This window comes from Homo sapiens, chromosome 5 (assembly GCF_000001405.40).
Source record: "Homo sapiens chromosome 5, GRCh38.p14 Primary Assembly".
Classification (NCBI taxonomy): Eukaryota; Metazoa; Chordata; class Mammalia; order Primates; family Hominidae; genus Homo; species Homo sapiens.
The window spans coordinates 150,185,255-150,213,173 of record NC_000005.10 but is presented as its reverse complement, the minus strand read 5'-3'; the positions used below and the strand labels follow the sequence as shown (position 1 = coordinate 150,213,173).

The window sequence follows — 27,919 nt, the reverse complement described above, 5'->3', positions numbered from 1 at the left end:
AGAGGACTGAGTGAGGGTGGAGAGCCCTGGGGTCCGGCCTCAGCTCCAGAACATTCTCCCCATGGGACCTGGGTAAACCCTCTAGGCTGCTCATCCCTTGAGACTGCAGAACAGTCAGCCTGCAGAGAGGCTGACAGGAGGCCCTAACTGAGCTGGGCTTACAACTTTTTTTTTTTTTTTTGAGATGGAGTCTCTCTCTGTCCCCCAGGCTGGAGTGCAGTGGCATGATCTCGGCTCACTGCAACCTCTGCCTCCTGGGTTCAAGCGATTCTCCTGCCTCAGCCTCCAGAGTAGCTGGGACTACAGGCACGAGCCACCGTGCCCAGCTAATTTTTTGTATTTTTAGTAGATGGGGTTTCACCGTGTTAGCCAGGATGGTCTCGATCTCCTGACCTCGTGATCTGCCCGCCTTGGCCTCCCAAAGTGCTGGGATTACAAGCGTGAGCCACCCCGCCCGGGCTCATGCTTACAACTTTTAAATCAGTCATCCACATTGCACATTGGGAAATTTCTCATAAAAATCCAGATTTCCAGCTGCCCTTAAAAAGCCCGGAGATCTGGCAGCCTGGGCCCACACTTCTGAGAGGTGGCCTCCCTCTTAAGATAGGCGTGCTTTCTTCTCTAGTTCACCACAGTCCCTACCACTCCCTCTTGCCTCTCCAGCACTCACGGAGGGTCAGTTGCCACATATTCTCCCGCTCATACCAACAGCTTTCCTCACCCAGGTTCCTGGCTGGCCCTGTAGGATGTGAGTTTGCTGCCGGGTAGGACATTCGAGGTTTGCAGGGTGGGATCCTACTCCAGACAGGGCTGATGTTTTCTCTGAGCTGCCTGCTATGCTGTCGTGGGTTCCCCCAGCTGGAGCTGCCTGTTCCCCAGTCAGTTCCCACTGTAATCAGGGCCAGGCTGGGGGCTGTTCTGAGCCAGGGAGACCTAAAGTCAATACAGGGATCAGGACCGGAGCAGTTGGGAGATGTTGCCGGCGACGGAGGGAGGAGAAGGTAGAGCGGCAGGAAAAGCTGTCTGAGAGTAGAGGAAATGGAAAAAGCAGGAGAAACTGGAAGACTGGGCCAGGGAGGGCAGGACAGGGACCGCAGGCCCGGTGGCAGGAGTGGGCAGGGGTTGGGGAGGCAGGAGGAAGTGAAGCTGGTGGGACCCATGGACTCCTACAACCCTCCAATCTCACACTTGGAATCTGAGGAGAAAGGAAGCCTAGACTCCCAAGATGCTCCTTTCCTGACTCCCAGGACACCTGGCTGCAGCCGAGAGGCTGGTGAGGAATATTCGAAAGTCCATGGCCCCGTGTCCAGGCAGAGAGCACCTCCTCCCCAGACAGGGCATGCTGAGAAGGCTGAGTACCAGGGCGCTGCCAGCAGGGCTGGAGCCTGCCCCGTGGGAAGAAGCACCTGAATTCTGAAGACCATTCTCACACGCTTTGCAAATTAGCAAATTCATCTCTTTCCCCTCACCCAGAGCCCCAAACAAAGAGGAGTGGGAGGGGGGCCTGGCCCTTTGTTAGGGGGAATTTATTAATATCTGAAATATGCAGCCGCCCTTCCTTTCCACCCCCAATCAAAGCCTTTGCAAACACCTGGGCCTCGCATTTGAAAGGCCCTGGGGCTCTTTTATATGACAAGGCCCTGCCAGGAGGGGGTGGGTGGAACCCAGAGATTCTTCCGGCCTGGGAAACTCTTGGCTCCTCCTAGCCCTGGTCTTCAGCTCCAGCCTTCACCTGCAGGCAGGGCTGAGGAGGAGTGGGAGAGGGAAGGAGGCAGCGGGCTCATGGGCTCCGCTTTGCTGGCCCCTGCTGCCCCAGGCTCTGCCCGGCTTGGCTGGGTAACCTTGAGCAAGTCTCTTTCCCTCCGTGGGCCTCGGTTTGTCTGTCTGTATAACAGGGAACTAAGTAGTCTGTAAGGGCCTGGAGTTGTCTTCCTTTCTGAGCCCCACCCACCACCTACTGCCACAGGGAAATGTCAGACCCAGGGCAGAAGCCAGGAGAGCCGGGGAAGGAGGGAGCAGAGCCTGTTTCCTCCCCTGTCCAGTGGGAGCTGGGGAGCCCTGTGCTGCCCACCTCACGGCTCTCAGCAGTAAGGAGACGGGGTAAGGAGCGTGACCTCATTTGATATTTATTAACAATGAACCAATAGAACACAAGGGGTTGGGGGGACGCAGCGAGAGACAGGCAGAGAGGCTGGCCACAGGGAGGCCTGTTGCATGAGGGAACCCTGCCCCACGGGAGAATGCTGTGTGCATGAGCCATGCTGAGGCATTTCTGCACCCCACTCTCCTCTTTGAGGGACCCACAGTACCAAGGGCTACCCTCTGCCCTCTGCGTCTACCCCCACACCGGGCCCGGGCCCATGTCCTGGAACAAGGTGGGTGGCCTCAGGACCAGCCAGCCATGTGTATGGGCCACCTCCTAGTCCCATGGTTGCCCTGTCACCAACAATGAAGGCCAGCTTCCCAGCAGCTCCTGGAACTGGAAGAGACACTGAAGGCCACCAGGACAAGGGAGATGGGAAGAGAGGGGCCCTGGGCCCTCACAGTGACCCTTCCTACCTCCCCAGCTTTTGCGGCTTGGGGTCCAGTGGGTGAAGGGGTGGTCTTTGTCTGAAGTGCTGGGGCCTCCTTTCCCCACCCGCAGCCCCAGCACCCTGGCTCAGGCCACCGGCAGCTCTTTCCCACTTTGCACAGGCCTCCCCGCTCCACCCTGTCCCGTCCGATCCGCTCTGCACAGATCTGGAATGATACTCCTCATCATGCAAATCCCCTGCCCACCCCATCATCCCTGGCTCCCCCTCTGTTAGTTTTCCTTCTGTCTTGAACCCTCCTGTAACCTGGTAAAACTAGTGTCTCCAACCCTCTTGGTCTCTGCCCAGGCAGCTCAGCATCCTCTGGCCCAGAGCTCCTCCCCACCCTGCCCTCTTCTTCCTCTCTCTGCAAACCTTCCCCATCCTCCAGGGCCCTCAGCTCCCACCTCCTTCAGGAGTCCTGCATACAGGAGCCCCCAGGGATCTTTCTCCCCACCTAACTCATTGACCTTTGATCCCCAGGGCCTCGGAGCCTCAAGAGCCTCTGTAGCCCTGACCTTCCCTGCCCAACTCAAGATTCTGGTTGTGCTAAGGTGTGTGGGGACAGGCTCCCCCCAAAAAGGGAGGGGTGTAGGCCCTGAATAGAGATGAGAAGGTGGTGCCGGCTGCCCCATGGGAAAGGGAGCTGGCTGGTCAGGAGGCGTGGGTTCAAGTCCCCTCTGCCATGCGACCTGGGGCAAGTCCCTCCCCTCCTGGCCTTAATATGTCCATCCGCAAAGTAGGGCTGAGTTGGATCATTCTCAGCTTTGAGTGGGTCTGAGTATGCCTGTGTGTGTGTGTAGGGGGTTGTCAGAGGTTTCAGGAGAGGCAGAGGCTGCAGAAGGGACCCCCACTGGGGGACTGGCATCCCTATGGCAGGCCCCCCCATAGCCTCTCAGAATCCCAGAGGGCACAGCTGACCTTTGCAGGCTTCTAAGAAGGGACTGTGAGGTCCCGGGCAGGGCCTTCTGCCCGCCTGCCTCCTGCCTCACATCATCGACTCCTCCTCCTCTGCAATCTCACGGTCCACCTCGATGGCCGTGTTCTCGAAGCTGGTGATGCCCCCGTACTTGCGCATGTGCACCATCAGTGGCTTTGGTGACTGGCTCCCAGCCAGCGTGGCCACATACATGCCCGTCCGGTTCTCCTCCAGCGATGGTCCCCAGTCCATGGCCGGCCGGCTGGCCTGTTGGAGCCGCTGCAGCAAAGCAACGAGAGCAGTGAAAACAGGAAACAGGCAGCGCTGGTGGAGGGTTCACTGTGGCCAGACACCCAGCAAACACCTGACCACATCACTGGGGGAGTCCTGGCCACAGCCCCCTGGCGGGGAAGTGGGGGGCACTATGACTTCCCCAGGGGAGGGATCCACCTGCCTGGGTGAGAATCCTGTTCTACCACTTGCAAGCTGGATGGCTCTTGGCAATGCCGCTCGGCTCTGGGTGCTCTGCTTCCTGGTCTGTAATTCGGGAATCCCAGTCCTGTCACAGGGTTGTTGTGAAGGCACTGAGATGACGCACTTAGCAGGGTGCTGGGAACAGGGTAAGGCCTGGGAAGTGGCGGCTGTTGCTATAATTACGCGGCGGGCCCCTCCTCAGAGTGTCTGAATGCCAATCCGGGAGCCTTCCCCTAAATGCTGAATCTTAAGGAGCTGGGGGCTTTTGGAAAAGAGCCATGAACCGGGAGAACTGCGGTGGGCTTGCAGCTGGCTTTCCCGGTTTCTTCCAGCCCCGACCTGCCTCCTTCTGCCTCTGACCTTTCCCTTGTAGAGCCCCAGTTTCCATGGACGGAGTCGGGGTGACTAAGATAATGACTAAGCCTGGAGATTCCAGAGTTCCTTCTTCCTCAACCACATTCCCAAATCCCTCTGCCTGTCATGCCAGGGAGAAGAGGGAGCCCCTGTGTCCTTAAAGAAAGGAGGCAATTAACATTTGGGCAGCCCACTGGGCAGGTTCCGAGGGAGATACCATGTGTGATGCCTTTAGCCGGGGTCTCCCACAGCTCGGTACTCACAGCACAGTGATACTTAGGAAGATGTGTTGAACGCATGCTACCCCACTGCTCAGAAGCCTGCCAATGGCTGCACATCTCACTGGAAATGAAATCCAAAGTGTGCACCAGGGCCTCCAGCTCCTGGCCCCTGCCTACCTCCCTGATATCAGCTCCACCAGTTCTCTCCACCCCCTCTGCTCCAGCCGCAGCACTGGCCTCCATGCTGTTCTTAAACATGCCAGCCCCCAGCCTCAGGGCCTTTGCACGTGTTGCCTTTCTGCCTGGAATGCTCTTACCCTAGATACCTACATGGATCACCCTGTCCGGTTAGTCAGGTGCCACCTCCTCAGAGAGGTCTTCTCTGACCATCCTGGCCAAAGTACCACTCTCCATTTATTCCTGTACTCCTTTTTTTTTTAAGTGCAGAACTTACCTTTACATATTTCTTTATTGCCTGTCCCCCACAATAAAATACAAGCTCCCTGAGAACAAGGACTTAGGTTTGTTTCCAGCTGAAAACGGGGGTGCTCAGACCAGTTTCTTAACCTGAGTGCTCCTGACATTTCGGTCTAGAGGATTCTGTGTTATGGGGGCTGTCCTGCGCATGGAAGGTTGTTTAGCAGCATCTCTGAACTCTGCCCACTAGATGACAGGAGCACCCCTCCTTGTATCCCTCTCCCCTCCACGACAACCAACAATGTCTCCAGACATTGCCAAATGTCCCCCAAGGGCAAAATCACCCCCTGTGAGAACCCCTGGCCTAAAATTGAGCACCCAGTGCACTCCAGCTCTGTGCTAAGCATTGGCTAATTTAATCTTTACAGTGTCCTAATGAGAGGGGTATTAGTACTTTTACCATCCGCCCGCACTGATATTATCTGAGTATTAAAGCTCAGAGAGATCAGTTAAGTTGGCCAAGGTCACACAGGTGGGAAGTGGTGGCGTTGGGATTTGAACCCGTCCTGACTCCATCCTGAACCTTTAAAATATTTTGCTTTTCTGCCTTTCACAATGCAGACTATATTGATAAACTTCTTTTCTTCTCATAACAGGCCTAAAAGTAGGTATCACTCTCTCCATTTTAAAGACAAAGACACTTAATCCCAGCACTTTGGGAGGCCGAAGTGCGCGGATCACTTGAGGCCAGGAGTTTAAGACCAGCCTGGTCCTGTTTCTACTAAAAATACAGAAATTAGCTGGACGTGGTGGCAGGTGCTTGTCATCCCAGCTACTTGGGAGGCTGAGGCAGGAGAATCACTTGAACCCGGGAGGCGGAGGTTGCAGTGAGCCCAGATGGCGTCACTGCACCCCAGCCTGGGTGACAAAGTGAAACTCTGTCTCAAAACACAAACAAAAAAAGACAAAAAAACCTGCCTATTGGATACTATGCTTACTGTCTCCACTGCACTGCACTCCAGCCTGGGTGACAGAGCAACACTCTGTCTCAACAAAAAAAATAAATAAAATAAAATAAAAATAAAGACAGAGAAGCTGAGGTTCAGGGAAGTGCAGTAACTTGCTTAGGGCCGCGAGGCTGGCAAATGGCAGAGGCAGGATTCTGATCCTAGGGTCAGTGCTGGAAGCCCTGGCCTCTGAAGCTGGCATTCCTGAGCTGGGGAATGCCTCTTCCGCAGTGCTCACCACAGCTCTCGAGCCCCCCAAAACATGCCCCTTCCACCTGGCTGTGGGACAGGGCAGCAGGGCAGCAGGGCAGCGGGGCGGTGGTGACTGCTGGAGAGCCCAGCACTCCTAGTGGCTCATTAGCAAGGCTTGGGGACCATGAGCTTCCTGGGAGCTGGAGCCTCCCCCCTAAGCAACTCCCCTCTCTTCCCTCCCTTTGCAGGTACCCTGGCTCTCAAGCAAGGAGCAGAGGTGGAGCTCCTGAGGTTCAGAGAAGGGAAGGAGTTTGCCCCAAGTCACACAGCAATTGGAGGCAGTGCAGAGGCTAGACTCCAGGGTGCCCCTGTGGTCTGGCAGCAGGATGGGGGAGGCATAAACCACTTCTGCCTCCTGAGCAACCCCTGCAGGTGGAGCCTTGTGGTGGGGGAGCTGAGGGGCAGGAGCTACACGGGGGAAGTGGAGGAGAGGCAGTAGTGTGCTGGTAAGCAGACTGTGGGGTGGGGTGCAAGGGAGGCCCGCTTTGTAGCCATTTTCTGTGGTGTAAATATCTCCACCATTGCCAATTCCTAGCTACCAATGGTTGAACACCTAGCTCACACATTCCTGAATATTTAAGGATGAACCAGTGCTAGCTGGCTCCAGCACACTTCTGGTGGGATGTGTATGTTGTGGGTGCCTCCAGGCTCTCTCTGGATGCCATCCATCGGGCTCACTAAAGCTGCATTCATGATGATGGTCTCTTGCCACCGGAGGACTCCACACCAGCGGCGGCAGAAGTGCTGGCCTCAGTGTTCAGAGGGTGCAATGAGGCTCAGACCACACCACTTCTGCTGGCCCACAAAGGGTCACTACTCCTCTCTTCCAAGGCCTCAGACCCTGTGGCAGAGTGCACTCTCTCTGTTTGTCTGAGTCCCTCCCCAAAACCCTAGGCGTGGGCAGGGCTCACACCATCATTCTATCCCGGGCCACCAGTGGGACACAGCAGGACTCCTGGGCACGGGAGTAGGGTGATAGCCTGCCCTCTGGGGTCCCTCACTGTCGCCATTTGACCCTGAGTTCCAGAAGCAAGCTCTGGGCTGGTGACCTGAGTTCAAGACCTGACACACCCCCAACCCACGGTGGGACCTGGGGCCAGTTCCTGGTTAACAGTGGTCTTTAGATTGTGCCACCCACTCCCCTAAGGCTTCATGTGGTACAAAGTGCCACAGGGCAGGACTCCAGCCCCTGAATCTGCCTCAGCCCAGGCAAGTCTCCTCAGGCTAAAAGAAGCTGGATAAGGGGTGGGTGCATATGTTTTCTGTTCTAGCAGGGGGACCTAGGGTCAGGCCACAGGTCAGGAAGGCTGAGAGTGGACAGGGTGGGCAGACTCACCTCCCAGAGTGAGCCCTCTTCTCGAAGCACAGCCACCAGCATGCCAGCTGGGATCATGAGGCAGGACAGCAGGCCCATCAGGATGCCCAGCAGCTCAGCCCAGGGCGGGAAGCGGTAACTGCCATACTCCGAGGGCTGGTACTTGACGATGCTATACACCATGAGGGCCTGCAGAGTGGGGACTCCCAGCATCACTGCGGGCTTTTGTCTAAACTGCTTAAGGCCCGAGGTAGCCCAGCCTAGTGCCAGCCCAAGGCCTGAGACAGTCCAGCCCAGAGCTACCCAGGATCCTAAGCTGTACCGAACCCTGAAGTGGGCCATCTTTGGAGCCTTTGAGGGTTTAGCCAGCCCATCTTGAAGCTGACCCAACACCAAGGCCTGCACAAGCCATTTCTGAGGCACCCCAGACCCTTAGCTGCTCTAACCCCAAGACAGAAATCACAGCCTAAAGGCTCCAATCCTGAGGCCCTGGGGCCTGGGAAAGACCCACGCATTTAACCAACTGAACTAGGGCCAGGCCCAGCACAGCTACAGAAGCTGGGAACATCAGGGGAGGGGATGGACTAGGATTCTGGTGGCCACCCCACAGCCCTCCACTGCGGGCCAGGGTGGCCCTACCAGACTGAACGTGCAGAGGGGACTCCCGCTTTCAATTCTGGGGCCCCAGCCAGAAACCCTCCCGCCCTCCCCAGTTACCAAGAGCGTGGCTGGGGACAGGAACAGCCAGCAGGCCCTGAAGTAGAGGCCCGGCTTGAAGCCCAGCATCATGTGGATGTCTCGGCAGAACCTCTGAATGCCTGCACAGGGGAGGGGAGGAGGAATGGCCCCACCCGCCGGCCCCACAAACGCCAGCAGCCCCTCCTCTACCCCAGCTGCCCCCACTGGAAACCCTGGCCCTTGGGACCAGGGACCCAGGTACTGGGGCTCCCCAGGGTAGACTCCCATTCTCCCACTGCGGAGAGCTCGACTCCACTTCCCACGGCTCTTCTCACCATACACCCGTGTCACGGCAAGGCACGTGGTGATAACCACCACCATCAGCCCGAAGCTGGCGCTGTAGTCATCCAGAAGGACCAGCCAGTACATGCCCCCCTAAAACACAAGCACAGTTCTGGTGTCCCCTTCCTGGGCCTCGTTCTCTGCTACAGCCCCTTCTCCTGGCAAGAAGTGAGCAGGAAGCAGCCATGCTGACAGCACAAGATGACAGGGTGACCACTGGCTGCCAGCCCAGCCCTTCTAGGCCTTGTCTTATCTGAGTCCCAAGACAGCCGTCTATTATAGAACCCTCCTTTTACTGATGAGGAAAAACAATCTCAGGGAGGGGAAATCATTTATCCTGAAGCCCCCTCAGCAAGTGCAGGAGTCAGGTTTGAACCCAGATCTTGCAGACTAAATCTCCACAGCCAGGACTCTGGATCACAAGGCCAAACTGCCTCCCTTGGGAGATAGGGCCGGGGAGGGACTGGGTTCCTTGCAAAGAGGAAGATGGAGGGGGCCCAGCAACTGCTCAGCTGGGCCAGAGATCTCGTTGCAGGCGTCTGCCCTTGTCCCGCCCACCTGCCATCCTCCCTGTAGCGCCACTCACATCAGTGGTGAGGATCAGCCCCATCAGGTACATGGCCACGCAGATGAGCCCTGAGAACACCGCCTTCTTGGGCCGCAGGTAGTATGGGAACTCATCTGTCACAGCTGTCACAATGGTCTCCAGAAAAGCAAACTGAGGAGAGAGGAGGGGCTGGGGGTCAGAATTCTATCCCCAACACACACACACACACACACACACACACACACACACACACACACCACACACACACGGGGTGCCTGCTGCCACAGACGAGACTCACCTGGCTATCTAGGCCGAGAGTCAGAAGCATGAAGAAGAAGAGAAAGGACCAGAAGGGTGACAGAGGCAGCATGGTCATGGCCTGTGGGTAGACGACAAAGGCCAGGCCAGGGCCTGGGCCAGGGGCACACGGGGTCAGCAGCTTGGGTCATGCGGTGGGCTCCCATACGCACACTCAGACACACACGGCCACTTACACTCATTTGGGCCATTTGTTTAGCCTAACCCAGAGATGCCCACTTAAATGCACCCTCTGATACTTCCTTAACTCCCAGGACCTACACCAGCACATTGTAGGTGCTCGATAAACATAGGTTGATAAACAAACACAAGACCCCAATATAAAACCTCATTGAAATATACTTATGTATACAATTATTGGTACAAATAACCCCACTAACACACACATTTACATGCATCCACTGGCAAAAGACACAGTGATTCACAAGATCATTCTCACCCTTTTCACTTGCACATAGACACCTCCACACACAATATGACTTATTTGTGCAACCAAAGCACAAAATGTGACAATCTTGCACAGAAACTCATTGGCCTCCAGACATGGGTTAATGCACACTCGTTTGCTCACCCATCCCCTTGCACATGGACCACCAGAGACCAGCTAGGACATGTTCCTTTGCACGTACATGTGTGCATATGCACACACATGACATACCCATCCACAATCTTTTTTTTTTTTTTTTGAGGCAGAGTCTTGCTCTGTTGCCCATGCTAGAGGGCAGTGACCCAATCTTGGCTCATTGCAACCTCCACCTCCCGGGTTCAAGCGATTCTCCTGCCTCAGCCTCCTGAGTACTGGGATTACAGGCATGTGCCACCACGCCCGGCTACTTTTTGTATTTTTAGTAGACACTGGGACTCACCAGGTTGACCAGGCTGGTCTCGAACTCCTGACCTCAAGCGATCCGCCCACCTTGGCCTCCCAAAGTGCTGGGATCACAGGCATGAGCCACCGCGCCTGGCCCCCATCCATAATCTTGCTGGTCCACTGGCCCAGCCCCATCTCTACCCAACACACATGCTCACCCCACTGAGGCCTGGCAGCCTGCCCACCTGCTTTGGCTACTTGGTCCACAGGCACGCCCAGCTCCTGAGACATGTAGCCCAGCACGGAGAAGATGGCAAAGCCAGCCAGGATGCTGGTGATGGCGTTGCCCAGAGTGACGATGAAAGTGTCTCTACCAGAAGAAGTCCAGGTGCGGGCCAGGGTGAGTGGGCCTTCCTTTCAGCCTCTGAGGCCCTCCCTGGCCAGCCACTCTCCTCCCTGCTTTGGACCCCAGGGTCTGGGAGGCTGTGGGACACTGACCTATAGATGTTCTGGTGAAACGTGTTGTAGGAGGCAAAGGTGAGGAGCCCCCCGAAGCCCACACCCAGGGAATAGAAGATCTGAAGAGCAGCTTCAATCCACACCTGTGCCGGGAAGGATGGAAAGGGAGGGTGTGCGGATGGTCAAGGACAGAGAAGGAAGGCAGTGAATGAAGATGGTGTGACAGCTCCAGGGATGGCGTGGTCACGAGGGATGGCGTGGTCATGAGCCTGGCTCACAAGTGACGTGGACCAGGAGCAAAGCCTCCCCCAACATTTACACGGTGGGACATGGGCAAGTCCCTTCCCCTCTGCGGGCTTCAGTTTCCCACCCAGGATCTAGAAGATGGTCTCTAAGCTTGGTCCAGTTCTGAAGGACACAGAGCCTAATGTAAAGTGTGCAGGAGATTTGTATTGGCAGTAAGCCTGCATAACCCCTTTACTTCCTTTCTGGAATCCTGGCACCTGGATTTGGACCCCAGCTTCACCATTTTCTAGCTGTGCAGCCTGAACAAGCCAGGTCACCCCTCTGGACCGCAGGATCCCTATCTGTAACGAGGGGATAGGAATAGTGCCTACTTCATGGGAGGAGGGTGGGTTAAATCACTACACACATGCATGTAAAACACTAGGGCAAGGTCAGGCACAGTCCCCAGTCAATAAATATTAACATTAGCTGTCAGTACCATTGTTATCACCATTGTCACTAATGCCCTCCTTGGGGTTTACAGTCACACAAATCTGGGCTGGGATCCCTGTTCTTCGATCCCCTAGCTGTATGACCGTAAGCTTGATAAGAACCCTTTTGAGCCTCAGTTTATTCCTCTGTAAAATGAGGATAGTGTTTCCATGATTGTTAATAATAATAAATGAAGTATAATATGCAGTTAGTGACAATATATCGTATTCTTGGAGAATGCTAAGAGAGTGGATGTTAAGTGTTCTCACTACAAAAATGATAATTATGTGAGATAATACATATGCTAATTAGCTAGATTTAACAGTTCCCCCAGGTACATATGCTTCAAAACATCATGTTGTACATGATAAATACATAAAATTTTACCTATCAATTTAAAAATAGAAAAAAATAACAATAATAATAAATAAAAAAGACGCAAGAAGGGCTGAGCAGAGTGCCTGGTACTGCGGTGTCCCAGGGAGCCCTCTTTCCACTCTCCAGCTCAGGCCTGGCCCCTCCCTCTGCACCCCGCCCTGAGGGGCTCACCTTGGAAGACAACAAGTGGTGGAACTGGGGGGTGAGATAGAACTGGATGCCCTTCCAGGCCCCTGGGAGGGTGACTCCGCGGACCAGCAGCATGAGCAGGATGAGGTAGGGGAACGTGGCCGTGAAATACACCACCTGAGAGATGATAAGTGAGGAGCTGATGGCATCGGGGACCTTGACTCAGTGCCATTCCTTGTAAACTCATCTGTGTCACTTGCCTCCCCAGCCTTTGGGTAGCCCAAGCCAGGAACCGGCCTTCATCCTTGAGGCTTCCCTCCTCCCTTCACACACCCAGCATCAGCAAAGCACCACCACCTTGCTTCCCAAGGCCATGTCCACTGCAGCCCCTGGTCCAGGCCGCCATTGTTGGTTATAAAAGCCTCCTCCTCCCCGTGTCCACTCCCTGCCCCTGCAAACTCACTCTGCATCATCCTCAGACATTCAACATTCCCAAACTCACTCCTCCCTCTTTCCTTCTTTTCCCAAACCTCCAGCCACCGCTTCAGCAAACACCATCAAGTCTCAGCGTCCTCACTGCCTTGGCTTTGACCATAACCTCTTCTCTCTTTCTATATGGTTTCTACCCTGTCTTTTTTGTCTTAAATGGCTCTGTTCCTTGTAAATGATACTTCTGGTATCGTCTGCACCTTGCAGAGGAAACAAGTTCTGATTTACCAATGATTGGGCAAGCCATCTTGAAGGTTTCTGAGTTTTTCTTTTTTCTTTTTTTTGAGACGGAGTCTCACTCAGCCTCCCAGGCTGGAGTGCAGTGGCACAATCTTGGCTCACTGCAACTACCGTCTCCCAGGTTCAAGCGATTCTCCCGTCTCAGCCTCCCGAGTAGCTGGGATTACAGGCACCTGCCATCATGCCCGGCTAATTTTTGTATTTTTAGTAGAGACAGGGTTTCACCATGTTGGCCAGGCTGGCCTTGAATTCCTGACCTCAGGTGATCCACCCACCTCGGCTTCCCAAACTGCTAGGATTACAGGCTTGAGCCACCACCTCCGGCCCCAAGTTTTTTCAAAATGGCTTTATCGTCCTTTCCACCCCTTCATCACCTAAAGTAGACATCCGTGGCTTTGTCTTCCAGTCTCTAGTTTACCTTTTTCAGATAACAGTACCTGACTTTCCCACCATGGAGCTGACTCTATTCCCAGCTCCAGGGGTGGTTACATGACCCACGCCCAGCCAAGAAAAGCATTCCATCCTCCGGGCCACAGGGATTAATTTAGGGATGGGTGCACAGCCCTGCTCATCCAATGAGACTCAATTCTAAAATAGTTGCAAACTGGGGAAAGACAACCCTTTACCAAGCTTAGATGTACGCCTAGAGCTGCTAGGGTGACCTCACGAAGAATGAAGCCTCAGAAGGAAGCCATCCTGGAAGGAAGCACTACTGACAGACCCAGAGAACCAGCTTCCTGATGACACTGATTGAACCCCTAGACCCAGCTGTGCCTGAAGCACACCCTCTGGACTTTCCAACTGAGTGTGATAACTGGGTTCTGGTCACCTGCATCTCAAAGAGCCCCCTAACTCATGCACTCACACTCTAAGTGTTCAACAAACTCTTGCTGAGCTCATTCAAAGTGCCAAGCACTGGGTCAGGATACAGCTGAATGTAGACCCTGCCTTGGTGAGCTTCCAGTCTAGTAAAGCAGCCTTGCCCCCGTGCGTCCTCACCTCCATGTCTCTCTTCAAGCAGCCCTCATCCCCCAGTCTCAAGGCTCTCTCCCTTCCCCTCTGCCCAGCTGAAGTCTCTTCATCTTCTCATGCTCAGTCCAAGCCCTGCCTTCTCCAGGAAGCCTTCACCCCATCCAGCCCCTCAGGCCTCCGGGGCCTCCCAGGCTTCACCTTGCCCGAAGACTTCACACCCTTGAGGATACAGAGGAACACGATGACCCAGGCCAGCAGCAGGCAGAGGCAGAGGTTCCAGCGGATCTCCCCAGGGCTGCCGATGCCCTGGCTGCCTTGGATGTGGAGGACGTAGCGGCTGTGGGAGACAAAGGTCTCAGTGTCCCCTGGTCACCCCACCAGGCTCCACAGACATGGAGTCAAGCCATGTCCAGCCCACAAGGCTCTACTGCTGTTCTCCACTTGACGCCCTCTTGATCCCTCTCCATCCTTCTCCGACCAACTCTGACCCAGGAGGCTGGCCTCACCAGACCTTACCCCTTCCTCAGCTTTGGGAGGCTGAGGAAGGAAGATCACTTGAGGATAGGAGTTCGAGACCACCCTTCCTCTTCTTCCTTCCTCTTCAGCTTCCGTGTGGGTTTGGCTAATGGGAGGCAACAGTGGGAGACTGTAGTGAGGGGAGGAATGAGGGGTCTGGGTATTTGCATATACATGTGTACACCACACACACACACACACACACACACACACACACACACACACACACACACACACCATCCAGGGCCTGGCCATGACTGTGTTCTTTAGGTAGCCCCTCTTCCAAGGCTCTGATTCTCTCCTGGTTCCCTCCCATTGCCTCCTAGGTTCAGGGGTGGTGATAGCTGTCCCTGTTGCTAGTCACTGATGCTTCACTTTTTGCTGTGGCTTCCATGACCCTCTGAAAAGTCCCTTCACTAAACTCCCTTCAGTGAAACCCTCTGACAATCCATCGGCCTCCTGCCTGCATCCTGACTGATGCAGTGGGCTGTGGCATGGCCATGGAGAACCACCCTGGCAGCTGCCAGTGATTGTATCAAATCCTTTGGCTTTAAGCTGCAAACTCAGGCTGATTCTTTCCCACTGGTCAGATAAACTCTTCAGCAGGTGCGGACACTTCAGATGGACTTGAAGTGGACAAATGAATGAACTATGTACTACAGGCAGGTTAAAGACCAAAACATTTCAAGACACGGAGCCTATCTGGGAGAAATCTCCTAACAGCAGTCCTTTATAGGTAAGGGATGGGGGTTATAGGGTCTGTGTTCTCTGGCCAGCCAACAGTCCCACCTAGGGACCAGGCTATTTTAGAATGTTCCAGAACAGGATCAGGACTCAGGAGTCCTTAGTGTCAATACCATCTCTGTCACTAATTACTGAGCAATACTGAGCAAGCCTCTGGGCTTTGCTTTCTTTCTTTCTTTCTTTCTTTCTCTTTCTTTCTTTCTTTCTTTCTTTCTTTCTTTCTTTCTTTCTTTCTTTCTTTCTTTCTTTCTTTCTCTTTCTTCTTTTAAAGGCAGAATGCAGTGACAAGGCTTTGTTTTATTGACCATAAAATGGGGCATTGGGATAGGCTGATGAGTGCAACGTCCTTCCGACACCCACCATTCCCAGGACCCACTGTGTGCCCAGCACCGTGATAATGGTTTCACCTGCATTATGTTGTTTAATTCTGATGACAGTCCCTTACTCTATTATAGTCCTATCTCTATTAGAGGAGTCTGAGATGGTCCTTACTATGTACGTCCTGGCCTTATGCTAAGTGCTTTACCTATGATATAGCAGTTGCTCAATAAATATTTATTAAAAGAATGAATGAGTGGGTAAATGACTAACTGGATAACACCTTATGAAGCAGGTACTGTTACCAACCCCTGTTACAGAGGAGGAAACTGAGACTCCATAATGTTACTATTACTGTTATCATCATCATCATCATTCTCAGCTAGTATTTATTGAGCACTTACTATCCACCAGACTGGACTGCACAATTTATTAATATATGCTTTCTCTCCTTTAATCTTCACAACAACCTTTCTGAGATACCTAGTATTATTGCCCTCATGCTACAGATAAAGCAACAGAAGCCAAATAAATTGTTTGAGGCCACACAGCTGGTCAGGTGAAGAGCTGGGATTAGAAGCCAGAGTCCACCTGCCATCACCACCTGAGCTCATCTTGGCGGTACATGCTGAGACTGTGGGGGATGCCCTCTGGCCACCCTCAGCAGTGCAGGGTCCCCTCAGATGCCGCGGGGCCAGCAGCTGCCTGACCTCCAGTACTCCTCGCTGGGGCTGACGGTGCAGGTGAGGTTGAGGGGCAGGGCCCCGTTGCCGTCCTTGGAGACTCTGTGCTCCAGGCAGAGTTCTGTGTTCCACCAGTTGCCACAGTGCTCCCAGGGTAGGTCGCTGGTGAGGGAGGCGAAGAGGTAGAAGAGCACGTAGGCGATGATCATGTTGTAGTAGATGGCCACCAAGCCCACGATGAGCAGCATGGCTGCGCCGGCGCCTGGTGTGGGGAGAGGCTGCTGGGCTGCCCAGGCCAAGCTCTCTGCCAGCCGGGTGGAGTGGCTTCTGGGGAGCTGGCAGCTATCTGGGCTTCACTTCCACCTCTGCCTGGAGCTGGCAGGGGTTCTGGGGGCAACCTCCCTGCCTCCCCCAGACCCTGAGCCCTTCCCTCCCTGGGGACCACTGAGGCCTCACCTTTGAAGAGAGGGCTGATTTTCCAGACAGCCAGGGGCCCTAGGCTGGAGAACTGGCCCAGGGAGAGCTCCAGGAAGAAGAGGGGGATGCCACAGATGGCCAGCATGAGGAAGTAGGGCACGAGGAAGGCGCCTGCCGGGAGCGGGGTGGTCAGCAAGGGCCTTGGGGGCAGCTCCCCCAAAAGCCCAGCTCTAGCCCCGCCCCTCCCCTGGCCTGCAGATGCCCCCTCAGACCTGATGGAACACTGTAGGTTTCTTTTCTTCTATACCAGACTGCTGAGGGCCAGAGTGGCCAGCAGGGATTTACTCACCTCTGGAGCCCCAGTGCCCAGAACAGTGCTGGGCTCAGCGCAGACGCTGAGAAACGCCTGCTGAGGGAGTGAATGAATGAATGAGGGAGAGAATGTGTGAATTTCCTGCTGAAGAAAGTGCAGACTCCTCAGTACAGAAACCAGCACCCTTCAGAATCCGGCTCCCCTCTATCTGCCTGCCCCTCCCCACCATGCCGCCTCAGACACTTGTGACTGCCACCTGTGGTTCCGTGGGCCCAATAGCCCTTCCCCTTTGGTTCTCACATTGGCAGTCACTTCTTTAGAGAACTGCCCACCACCATATGACTCTGGAAGGGCTGCCAGTCACATCAACCAACCCCCTCCTAGGCGACCTTGGGCAGAATTAGTTGGAAGTGTTTTATCATAACCTGGGGCTGGAAGGAGGGGGTTCACCGCCCTCTCCTCCTTCCCCCGTGGGCACCTATCCAAAGCCAGGCCTATCAGAGGCCTTCCCTGCAATTCTGTATAGATTCATTCAGACAGAGCAGTTCTGCAAAGCTCTTGGGTTGCTAAACCCATTGGAGGATGAAGTCATTGCAGAGTTGTCTGTGGCCACCTCCCCCCAAGGCCTGTCCCCCACCAACTGCGGGGAGGAAGCCTGTCTCAGGACAAAATGAGGTCAGCACACAGAGAGGAAGAGTAGGGACATGGGGAGAGTGCTTGCCGAGAGACACCATGGGTGTCATCAAGGTCCTAGAGCTTCAGAGGCCAGCTCCAGTCCCACACATCCTAGTCATGTAAATTTATCCTTTCTTTGCTTCATCTAGCTTTATTTGGATTTCTCTCACTTTCTCAATATATGCTTCCTTCAGAGTTTGCTAGAGACAGAAGGAGATACGAGTACTGGTGAGAGCACACTGGCTAGGGAGGAGATAGTCCTGGGTTGGAATGTTGGGTCTGCCACCCTGTGACCTTGGGCAAGGACGCTGGTGTCTTCAAGTTTCAGCTACCTCATCGTATCCATGGTGCCTACCCAATAGGGTCATCACCAGGGTTAAATGAGATGGGCACAGCAAGCACCAAGCCCAGGGCCTGACAGGTGGTAGGCGCTCAGCCCCAGCTTTTGCTAATGAGACTTGGAACCGTCACTTGATGGAGAAGCAGGGATGAAAGGAAATTTGTTTAAGATGGGAGAGACTTTGTGTTTGCAGCCTGAATGGAAGGAACCAAGAGAGGAGGAAAGATTGGAGACTCAAGAGAGGGAATGATTGATGGAGCACAGCTCAGGAGGAGGTGGAGGAAGGAGGGGGTGGGGAGAACACTGAAAGTGCAGTGATCATCGGCAGGCAGATACAGCTCCTTATCACGAAGCAGAGGCAGCTCCCTCTGCCCACCGTGCAGGGCGTGGGGTGGCCAGCCTTAGAGAGGGAACCATGTGGGTATCCTTCCTGGGGATGAGAGGGAGGAAGGAAGGGCTTGGGTGATGAGAAGGACAAGACAGGGTAAACTCCTTCCTCCCAGCCCCAAGTTACTATAAACCACTTTCAATGAGTTCTGCCCAAGGTCGCCTAGGAGACAGTGGCTGAGGCCACCTAAAAGCTCACTGTACCCCAGGGCCTTGGCCCATCACCCCAGACACCCTCCGACAGGACCTCAGGCCCATACCTCCTCCATTGGTGTACGCTCGATAGGGGAAGCGCCAGACATTCCCCAGGCCTACACAGTAGCCAATGCAGGACAGCAGGAAGTCCAGCTTGCCTGTCCAGTTCCCCCGGTGTGCAGCAAAGTCCACATCCAGGTCGACATCGCCCTGGTCACTGGGGGTCATCAGCAGGTCTGGGGTGACAGGCTGCCAATGAGAGAGACCAAAGAGGTTGGGGAGAAGACTGAGGCCAGGCCAGAAATGTGACCTCAAGACAAGACTCTGGAATTGAACAGGGCTAAATGAAAAGACATTCTCAGTCCAGATAATCAAGTGCTCTCAACTGGACTAACCTTGTCATATGCAGGAGAGCCTCAGGATTTTAGGCGACCAAAACTTACTGGGCCAGCAGGGTAGCTTAGGCACTAACAAAGCTACCCTGACCTTAGTCTGGCTAACACAGATGCCAAATCAAGGGATAGTCCTTTTTTTTTTTTTTTTTAATTGAGAAAGAGTCTCCCTCTGTTGCCCAGCCTGGAGTGCAGTGGTACAACCTCAGCACACCGCAACCTCCACCTCCCGGGTTCAAGCAATTCTCCCGTCTCAGCCTCCCGAGTAGCTGGGACTACAGGCGCCCACCACCACGCCCGGCTAATGTTTTGTATTTTTAGTAGAGACAGGGTTTCACCGTGTTAGCCAGGATGGTCTTGGTCTCCTGACCTCGTGATCCACCCGCCTCGGCCTCCCAAAGTGCTGGGATTACAGGCATGAGCCACCGTGGCCGGCTGGATGGTCCTATTTTGATGAGGATGAGGATGACGAAGATGAAGAGCATGATGATGATCTTAGTAAGTTACTGTATATTGAGCACTTACTATGTGCCCACTGCACTAGACATCTCACTCACATTACCTGATTTCATTCTCAGAACAACTTTTTGAGCTCAGTATTCATCTAAGCTCCATTTTCGTCATGAGGAAAACTGAGGCTCAAAGAGGTGTCATGACATACCCGAGGTTTCTACCAGGTTGGTGAGTGGAAGAACTAGGTCTGGAGCCCAAGGCTTCCTGATGCGAAAGCCAGGTCTCCTTCACCCACCAGTGCTGGAGTTTTGTTCCTCCGTTCCGGGCACCATATTTTAAGAAAGATGCAGACAATATGGAGCATGTCCAAAGGGCAGGTGGCCAGGCTGGAGGGTGTTCAGGAAAAGAGGTGATAGGAGGACAACAGAAAGAAGCTGGGAGCCCTCAGCATAGAAAGGAGAGGACTTGGAGGGACCTGGGGGTTCCCCTGAGGGAGGGAATCCACTGATGCTCCGTGGCTCAAATGGGGCCTACTAAGAACCAAGGAGATCTGACTCCTTGGTTAGGACTGGTACTTTTCAGTCACAAGCCAGAAAACTTCCCCAATACTCCCCCTCCCCGCATGCTGACAGCTTGGCTGGGGGGGTCAAACCCCACCAGGCAAGGTAGGGAGAGCCTGAGGGCTGGGTGAATTTTGTGAATTTTGGCTCATGAGCAGGAAGAAGGTACTTAAGCCGTGATCTGTGTCAGAAAGTCATAATCTTGCTGTCCCTGGAGAGGAGATGCATGCCCAGAGGGGAGCGGAGGCCAGCTGTTCCTAAGGTCTCCTTTCATGCTTCAAAGTGGGTGAGAGGTCCATGGGGCATTCTCCCTTAGGAGACCCTCAGTGATGGTGACCACAGTGGTGATTTTGCCAGAAACTGGCTATTGGCCACAGGGGCCGTGGTGACAGGAACAGCCAGACATTATTATGGGTGACGATGACAATGACAGAGCATGAAGAGCTGTTTTTAAAGTAACTAGGCTGCAAGGGGTGAAACAAATACATGCCTGGAAGTTCTTTAGCTGTGATCATGGACATGCTGAGGTGACAGGAGCAGCAGATCCCAGACTTAAGTGAAACCCACCCTTCCCCTCCAATGCCCCGTTCCCTGAGGCTGCCTCTCCAGCTGGGTGAGCATCAGCCTTCAGCAACCTCTCACCCCAGGTGAGCTCCGGGAGGAATGGTTGCCACTGTTCCTGGTGTTGGGTGGTGAGCAGGCCTGTTACCCTGAGACACCCCCCGCCCATCCCAGCACCATTCAGGCCAGTTAGCAGGAGGTCCCAGTAATGAGGATCCTCTGATCCCTCCAGAGAAGCTGCCCTTTCCATGCTCATGGAGCGGTCCCGGTTCTCTGTTTCCATGGTGACTAGAGTTCCAAGAGCAGGATGCTGCCAGCTCGTCCCCCTCCTCCCCCAATCAGAGGGAAGCCTGCTTCTGCTCCAGGGGCAGGAGATAGGGTCCTCCAAAGCTGAGCCAATCAGGAGCCCAACTGGAGTTCCCAACCCCACCATGGGGTGAATCCCAGGAGGCTGGCACAGTGAGGATGGGGCTGGTTGGGAGATGGAAGAAAGCAATCAAATAGCTGGGGCAGGGCTGGAAGCTGAATGAGTTGCTTCATACTTCTTCCTGGGTGTAAGCCTCCCACTCCTGAATCTCCCACTCCCTACCCCAGGGGCATGCAGGAACACACAGCTGAGTTTGTCAGACCTGCATGCTCGCCTTTAGGGACTCACAGCAGGGGCTGGGAGACTCAAGACTGCCCAAGCCAAGACTCTTCAGGACAGAGAGAGACAATAGGAATCTGGGGTCCAGCTTCATCATTGTGCAGATTAGGAAACCAAGTTTCAGGAAGAAGGGATGAGCCCAAGGTCAAACAGCAAGTTAAAGGCACAGCAAGACTTGGACCTAGATCCCCTGACTCTAAGTCCAGTGTTCATCTCTGAGCAATGCTGCTCCTTTGCGGAAATCTGGCATTTTCTCATTCCCGCCCAATTCTGCTTGAGAAAAGGGAAAGGACCCTGAGAGGAGGTAGCAACCTAGAACCAACCCTCTGCCCTGTTGGCTCTAGGTTGCCTAGCCTGCCAGCAGGTAAGCAGTGAGTCTCACCCCTCTGTGCCTCAGTTGCCTTATTTATAAAGTGGGGCTACTAAGACCTAGCCCCTGGAAGTGTTAAAGGATTAAATGAGATAAAGCTTGCTAACCCCCCAGCCCAGCACCCAGCAAGAGGGACAGGGCCTCTTGTGGGGAGGGAGGGCAGAGAGGGAAGAGAAGGAGAGTGGAAAAGAATGGAAACAGGACCCAAGAGACTCACAAATGGTCTCAAGAAGTCACTCATGTCAGTGAATAAAAAAGACATACCAGCTGGGCGCAGTGACTCACACCTGTAATCCCAGCACTTTGGGAGGCCGAGGCGGGCGGATCACGAGGTCAGAAGATCAAGACCATCCTGGCTAACACGGTGAAACCCCGTCTCTACTAAAAATACAAAACATTAGCCAGGCGTGGTGGCGGGCGCCTATAGTCCCAGCTACTCGGGAGGCTGAGGCAGGAGAATGGCGTGAACCCGGGAGGCAGAGCTTGCAGTGAGCCGAGATCACACCACTGCACTCCAACCTGGGTGACAGAGCGAGACTCCGTCTCAAAAAAAAAAAACAAGAAAAAGAAAAAAGACACACCACAGTGGTTCCAAGCCCAGCTGCCCCAGAGCAGAGAACTTGAATGAATGAGTGTGTGTGTGAGTGAGTGTGAGTGTGAATGTGTGTGTATGTAGGGAGGTTGATAACACCAGCCCCTGAGAACAGTCTTCTCACATCTACCAGCCCTTTAGCATTCTTCCCCACACCTCACACACCCAGTGGGGCCTGTTTTGGTGCCTCCAGGCTAGGGCTTAGCCAGAGGAGGTTCAGGTTAGAGAATGAACTTGTCCAAAGTCACCAGGCAAGTGGCAGCGGCAGAAATAGTATTCAGGAGATCTGACTCCTTAGTTAGGACTGGTACAAGCCAGAAAACGTCCCCCAGTATTCCCCCTCCCCATATCCTGACAGCTTGGCTGAGAGGTCCAATCCCACAAGGCAAGGTAGGGAGAGCCTGAGGTCTGGGCCCACAGCCACTCTCCCATACCAGCTTCCATCTTCATTGATCATATCCTCCTGCCTCCGATAGCCCCCTCCCTGTCTTTGCCTCCCTTCAGCCCTGCTGAGGGGCAGCCTGGGGTCTCAGCAGGCAAGCTAAGGGGGCGGGGAGGGAGCAGGCAGGAAAGAGGAGAGTCTTCCCGCAGGCTCAGGGAGCCGGCTTCAGTATGGATGACCGCCTCCCACTCCCCACCCCTCAGATGAGTCCAGCTCAACGCTCAGGTATTCCAATACCCCCCACACCCGGCAATCAGCTCCTGGCGGGGAGCAGCAGGGTGGAATTGGGGAAGAGGTGGGTGCCTGGCCCCGGCCGCCCCTACCCCGCGCCTCCGGGGACTGCAGACACCTGTTCATAGGCCTGGCCCAGTGAACCAGGACTCCCCTCATACTACATCCCGAACCCCAGATGGCAGGGGCAGAGGTGGGGGCGCAGACCGTGACCCTGACCCTCCCTGTTATCCAGCTGAGTCGGGCCTTCCCCAGAGCCCGAAGCTGGTCTGGGTGCATCCTCAGACCTTCCCCAGGGGCCTCGTTGGGGGCGGGTCTCTCCAACCCTCCTCCAGGTGCACCCCCAGCGCCCCCGCCCTCGTGCCCTACCTTGCGGAGGTGAGCTCCCTGGAGCTTCTTCATCTTGGAGAGCGGGTGGCCGGGGCTCAGCTGCCCCGGAGCGCAGAGAGCGAGGGCACGAGAGATGGTCCGCTGGCCACTGCGCCTTTGCCCCCGCGGCTCCCGCGCACCGGCTGGGGCGGGCACGGACGCAGGCGCTGCCGTCTGGCGGCTGCGGGCGTGGAGCGCGGGCAGGGCGCTGCGAATGCCTTGTCTGTCCCTGCGCAGCGCCCGAGGCTGGGGAAGGGTGCACTGCTGCGCCCGCATAGACACCCAGACAGACAGCTGACGGACGGACGGCGGGGGGATGCGCGCGCCCCCGCACGCAGAGCTGCGGATTGGAGAGCCCTGAGCGAGTGGGGAGGGGGGTTCGCGACGGAAACCCTCGGCTTTCTGCGTGACCTTGGGCAAGCGACCTGCCCTCTCTGGGACTCCCTTTCCACAGTTGGGCAAGGAACACTAACAGCCCACCCCCCTGCGTCGTCTTTGCTGTGCGACCTTAGGGGATAAGAATCTCTCCTCTCTTACAGGAGTGTGAGCAATTCAGGAAGATGGAGCATAGAAAACATCTAGCACAAAGAGCCTGACACATAGTAGGTGCTCAGTTAACATTTATTCACTGACTGTGGGTTGCCCACGCCACCATTAGTCCAATTATTCAATCTATCAGTATTTATTGAGCACCTAAAATGTGCCAGGTCCTGAACTAGGTGTCCTATTTTCTCAACCTGGAGAGACAGGTGTCGTTACTCCTATTCTACAGATGAGGAAGCTGAGGGACAGGGAAGTTAAGTTACTTACTCAAAGTCACGGGGCTAATGAGTGACACCAGGGACAGAGTCAGGCTTCATGGACCTTTAGGCTAGTAGAGTCTTCAACTCTCCTCCTTTCCTTAAGATGAAAGCAAAATGGGGAGGTTTGGGTGAGCAGAAGGGACAGGCAAGTGCCACAGTGTCACTGTGATCTGTGACTTAGATGATTAGTAACTGGTTTCCTGTCCAGCAGCAGTATGGCTTCTGGAAAGTTCTAATTTCATATCTGTAAAATGGGCCACGAGCCGCCCATGCATTGTTGCCTCAGAATGTTCTGAGGGTCCAGTGAGCCTGTGGCTAGGATGGGAAATGATGAGCTGGAGCAATGGCACACGTTGGTTTGCTGGGACTGACTGATAGACACTAGCGGATCAGTATATACATTACAAATTGTGTCCTTTTCACCCTCGCAAGTGTCCCAGTTTAGACATTAACCATACATCTGTTTGGCTCACTATCAGTTGACACGGTGGGAGGCCTTTGGGGAGAGATGAGAATAAGGTTCTGCTCTCTCCCACCTCTGGAGCTTGAAAAAAGGTTGGAGGGGTTTAAGTCAAAGCATGGACTTGGGTAAAGGCCTGGCCAGGCTCCAGTCCACCCCTTCCCCTGCCCAGGTCCTGTCAAACTTCTCTCCCCTTTGAGCCTGGCCACAAAGGGCAAACCAGGGGCTCTCCAGACCCAGGAGGAAGGTGTCTCCTCTGCCCCCTGCCTGCTGACCCATATGGGGCCAAGAGTGGCTGTGAGTGTGAAGAGAAGGAGCATTTATGGAGCCCTACTGTGTGCATTATGAAGGATTTTTGCATCCAACATCTAATTTTTAATTCTTTCCAACTGTCTGGGAAGACATGTTTGTGCATCTCATTTTACACCTGTGGAAACTGTCCCAGAGGAGTGAAGTCATGCACTGGGCGTTGGGGATGAAGCCAGGAAAGCTGTGGGTCATGGCTGGGAAAGGCAGAAGCCAAGGGCTCCTGAATCCAAGGAGGCCCAGGCAGGAAACTTCCCCATCCCTCACCCAAGGCTTGTCAATGCATCTTGTACAAAAGAGGCTCAACCTTGCTCAACCACTCCCTCCCATTGGCACTTGGGTTTCATGAGACCCTTTGGAAGGCACAGAGGGCCACAGGGACAGCGAGCAGGGATGAGGCAGTTGGCTCAGGAGCCAAGAAGACTGGCCTCTTTATGACCCTTCCTAGCAGCACCTGCTCCTCCCACTTCACGGACCCAGCCCTGGGGGAGAAGAAGGGAGTGGACCAGGGCTTTAGCTTCCCTTGAGCAGACACATCAGGGGGTGACCACTGAGCCACTGTGGCAGTCACTGGGACTGTGAGGTGCAAATGGATCTAGGCCCATGCCTTTCAGATAGGGAAACTGAGACCCAGAGGGGCAGGATTTGCAAAATCACTCAGTGATTCAGTAAAGACAGGATCATGTCTATAACCTAGGAGTCTGACCTCACCCAGGCTCTGCCCTCTAGCTCATACCTCTCTGCCACCATCACCTCCATCCCCACAGCCCTGGTGGGGAAAGTCTGCCCTTTCATAAAACAAACAAAACTCAAAGATTTTCTTTTCTTTATTTTTTTGAGAGAGATCTTGCTCTATTACCCAGGTTGATGTGCAGTGGCTCCATCTCGGCTCACCACAACCTTCGCTTCCTGAACTCAAGCTACCCTCCCACCTCAGCCTCCCAAGCAACTGGGACTACAGGTGTGTGCCACCATGACTGGCTAATTTTTGTATTTTTTTGTAGAGACAGGGTCTTGCTATATTACCCAGGCTGATCTTGAACTCTTGAGATCAAGGGATCTTTCTGCCTCTGCCTCCCAAAGTGCTGGGATTACAGGCATGAGCCACTGTGCCCAGCCAAAACTCCAAGATTTTCTAAAAGACATTATCCACATAAATCAATCTACCCACTGAAGCTCCAATTTTATGATCATACAACTGGCCAGGAGTCTGGCAACCAAGCACATTTGACAATTGCTGTCACCACCATCTCCTCTCCCCCATTCCAGAGGGGGTTTGATTCATGGCAAAATGACTGCTTAGGAATCCAAATGGTAAATATTCACTCTCCCTTTCCCCCTTCTCTCCCTGTTGTGGTCTCATATCAAACCAGAAGTGCAATGGAGATGTGTGTGTGTGATTTAAGGAAAGTGTCAGATGAACTGTACTTCCTTTTATTATATAGGGAGATATTTTTAAATGTATATAAATAAACATTTTTAATTTGCTTAAATATTCAGATTTTATCACTGTAGAGCATGTGTTTTGTCACACTAGGGAGTGACGACTGTAAAAAACAAGGTTCCAGGCTGCTAGTCCATCTGGAGTGGTTCAGAGGAAGTGATCCCAGAGCTGCCTGGTTGGAACGGGATTGCCCTCCAAAGCTGCCCTGGCGGAGGCTGGCTGTGCTCCCCAGCTCTGCATCCCTCTGGCAGATCATCTCAAACACTCAGAGCCGGGCTGATTTCCTCAGAGCTCCACAGTCCTCCTGTTCTAACCCTTGTACCCCTATCACAGCCCATTACACACACACAGACACACACACACACACACACACACACCCTTGACTGCTGGAGCCCTCCTCAGAACACTCCATTCCCCACCAAGTCCCTCCCTAGAGTAGTGCTGCAACTGTTCTGCTCGGTCCACACCAATCTCTCGGCAATCAATGATGGGATTGGCTTTTCCATAAGACAGGTTCTCAGCCCAGGGTTAGGAGTCTATGGACTCCCTGAAATTGTATGTAAACAGTGTTGACATGCACAATTCTGATTTGCTAGAAGACGTAAGCAGTCTGTGGGCCTTGGAGGGCCAGCACAAAGTCACTGTACGCAAAGCAGCATGGGCCATTCCTGATACGAGAGCTGAACACCTCTTACCCCTGGGGTGGCTGTAAGATTTGACTAGACTTGAAGGGTCTCTTTCCTAAGCCATTACAACACCCCAATCTCTGGTGGAACTCTGGGTGACAGGGAACTCACCAGGCACAAGGCAGGAAGTTGCACTGCTTGGAAGTTGTCTTAGATGAGTTTCCTTTTTCATGGGGCTAAACACCCATTGGTAGGTGAGCACCAACCCAACCTGTGGGTCGCATCCAACCTCCTGACCTCCCATGTGGGCAACTGCTGCAGCTCACCCTTTGATGTGGTAATGCGCCGCTGTGACTCTATCAGAGGAGTGGCCACTGACCTCCTGCCGGGCAGAGGTCTTCCTAATGCGGAGACAGGCTTGTCCTCCTTCAGGTGGGTAGAACATCAGCCACGCCTGCCAGCCTCTCACACTGGGATGCAGCAGCAGCCCCGTGAGCAGGTGGCTCAAAAACAGGCACTTCTTATGTGCTGGGCCCTGAGCGAAACACAATTCTAAGCTCAGTTAGACTATTTTATTTCCATTTGACACATGCGGAGGCCGAGGCTCCAAGAAGCTAAGTAACTTGCCTGAAGTCTTGCAGTTTGGAAGTAGTCACGCTGAAATCCAGGCCATTTGACGACAAAACCTGCTGCTAAATACTGAGACACAGAGAAGGTGAGGCCCTCCAGCCTGAACATCCCAGCACTGCAGAGTGTGTGGAGTTCAGTGGGATGCTCGGAGGTGTGAGTAGGGGCCTCCTAGGTAGCAAAGCACGGGGAAGGCCAGATGAAAGAAAATTCAAGGGGTTTCTTTGCTGTGGGGCTTGTCAGAGACTTTGATGTGCTAATGGCCCACTGTGACTCTATCAGAGAAGTGGCTTCAGCAGGATTTCCCAAACTTACTTGACCAGAGTTATTTCTTTCTGGTAGACAACTTCCCCAAGTTTACAGATGGGGCAATGCGGGCCCAAAGAGGGGAAGCAGTTACCCTAGGGTCACAGAGCATATTTTTTTGAAGATCAGAAAACTCTATTCAGTCCGGGCCAGCCGCCTTTTCACCAGCCCCTCCCCCTCTACTCTTGGAACCCTGGTTCTTTCCCAAGCCTCAGGTGTCCACCATTACTAATGAATGCCCGCTGTCTCCCAGGCCACTGGTAGGAGGAGAGAGAGAAGTGCCTGCTGCACTTCAGGGGCCTGTGCCAGGCCAGGATCCACCTTGTGCACTGTTATCATGGGAGCAAAGGGCGATGTCAGGCAGGCTGTGCACACTTTTTATGGCCTGGCCACCTCCCAGAACAGTAAACAGAGGGGCAGGCAGCTGGCACCAGAGCCCCCGGGGAGAGAAGGCCCCGGGTAGTAGACTCCCGAGTTCAAAAAAAATTATACTTTCAGTCCATATTGCTCAAGTTCCTTTTCTCCTTTATTCCC

At 54.1% G+C, this 27,919-nt stretch overlaps 1 protein-coding gene across 7 annotated transcripts, besides 5 other annotated features; it reads right to left on the bottom strand.

The window, feature by feature from the left end:
- Nucleotides 1,623–2,194: an enhancer, noted in NCBI's record as "H3K27ac-H3K4me1 hESC enhancer chr5:149590543-149591114 (GRCh37/hg19 assembly coordinates)". NCBI's record gives its function as "activates a minimal SCP1, AML or CMV promoter by ChIP-STARR-seq in primed H9 embryonic stem cells {active_cell/tissue: H9 hESC(primed)}" and the evidence as "EXISTENCE:reporter gene assay evidence [ECO:0000049][PMID:30033119]".
- SLC6A7 (solute carrier family 6 member 7) lies at nucleotides 2,111–23,112 on the bottom strand. Of its 7 annotated transcripts, XM_017009767.2 has the most exons (15): nucleotides 22,814–23,112; nucleotides 18,263–18,446; nucleotides 16,327–16,458; nucleotides 15,898–16,132; nucleotides 14,121–14,231; nucleotides 13,808–13,946; nucleotides 11,951–12,085; nucleotides 10,724–10,827; nucleotides 10,471–10,595; nucleotides 9,395–9,507; nucleotides 9,136–9,267; nucleotides 8,543–8,642; nucleotides 8,247–8,347; nucleotides 7,551–7,718; nucleotides 2,111–3,768 (listed from the first exon to the last, which is right to left on the bottom strand). In XM_017009767.2, exons 1-15 carry the CDS (start codon nucleotides 23,087–23,089, stop codon nucleotides 3,559–3,561), a joined length of 2,265 nt encoding a protein of 754 aa, XP_016865256.1. In that variant the 5' UTR covers nucleotides 23,090–23,112; the 3' UTR covers nucleotides 2,111–3,558. The 7 variants fall into 7 exon arrangements, with proteins under 7 accessions (XP_016865256.1, NP_055043.2, XP_016865258.1 ...); NM_014228.5 differs by lacking the exon at nucleotides 14,121–14,231; XM_017009769.3 differs by lacking the exon at nucleotides 22,814–23,112 and having other exon boundaries at nucleotides 16,637–18,442.
- Nucleotides 3,035–3,578: an enhancer, noted in NCBI's record as "H3K4me1 hESC enhancer chr5:149589159-149589702 (GRCh37/hg19 assembly coordinates)". NCBI's record gives its function as "activates a minimal SCP1, AML or CMV promoter by ChIP-STARR-seq in primed H9 embryonic stem cells {active_cell/tissue: H9 hESC(primed)}" and the evidence as "EXISTENCE:reporter gene assay evidence [ECO:0000049][PMID:30033119]".
- Nucleotides 3,553–4,752: an enhancer, noted in NCBI's record as "P300/CBP strongly-dependent group 1 enhancer chr5:149587985-149589184 (GRCh37/hg19 assembly coordinates)". NCBI's record gives its function as "activates an origin of replication core promoter dependent on BRD2, BRD4, P300/CBP, MED14 and CDK7 cofactors, with strong dependence on P300/CBP, by STARR-seq in HCT116 cells {active_cell/tissue: HCT116}" and the evidence as "EXISTENCE:reporter gene assay evidence [ECO:0000049][PMID:35650434]".
- Nucleotides 6,707–7,333: an enhancer, noted in NCBI's record as "H3K4me1 hESC enhancer chr5:149585404-149586030 (GRCh37/hg19 assembly coordinates)". NCBI's record gives its function as "activates a minimal SCP1, AML or CMV promoter by ChIP-STARR-seq in naive H9 embryonic stem cells {active_cell/tissue: H9 hESC(naive)}" and the evidence as "EXISTENCE:reporter gene assay evidence [ECO:0000049][PMID:30033119]".
- Nucleotides 26,344–27,284: an enhancer, noted in NCBI's record as "NANOG-H3K4me1 hESC enhancer chr5:149565453-149566393 (GRCh37/hg19 assembly coordinates)". NCBI's record gives its function as "activates a minimal SCP1, AML or CMV promoter by ChIP-STARR-seq in naive H9 embryonic stem cells {active_cell/tissue: H9 hESC(naive)}" and the evidence as "EXISTENCE:reporter gene assay evidence [ECO:0000049][PMID:30033119]".

Excerpts from the sequence above, each read along its gene's own strand:
- SLC6A7 (XM_017009767.2), bottom strand. The coding sequence starts at position 23,089 with ATGCGGGCGCAGCAGTGCACCCTTCCCCAGCCTCGGGCGCTGCGCAGG. Across the intron at positions 10,596-10,723 it reads TTTCACCAGAACATCTATAG|AGACACTTTCATCGTCACTC; the intron begins GTCAGTGTCCCA and ends TTCTTCTGGTAG. Across the intron at positions 9,268-9,394 it reads CTCTCGGCCTAGATAGCCAG|TTTGCTTTTCTGGAGACCAT; the intron begins GTGAGTCTCGTC and ends CTCTCTCCTCAG.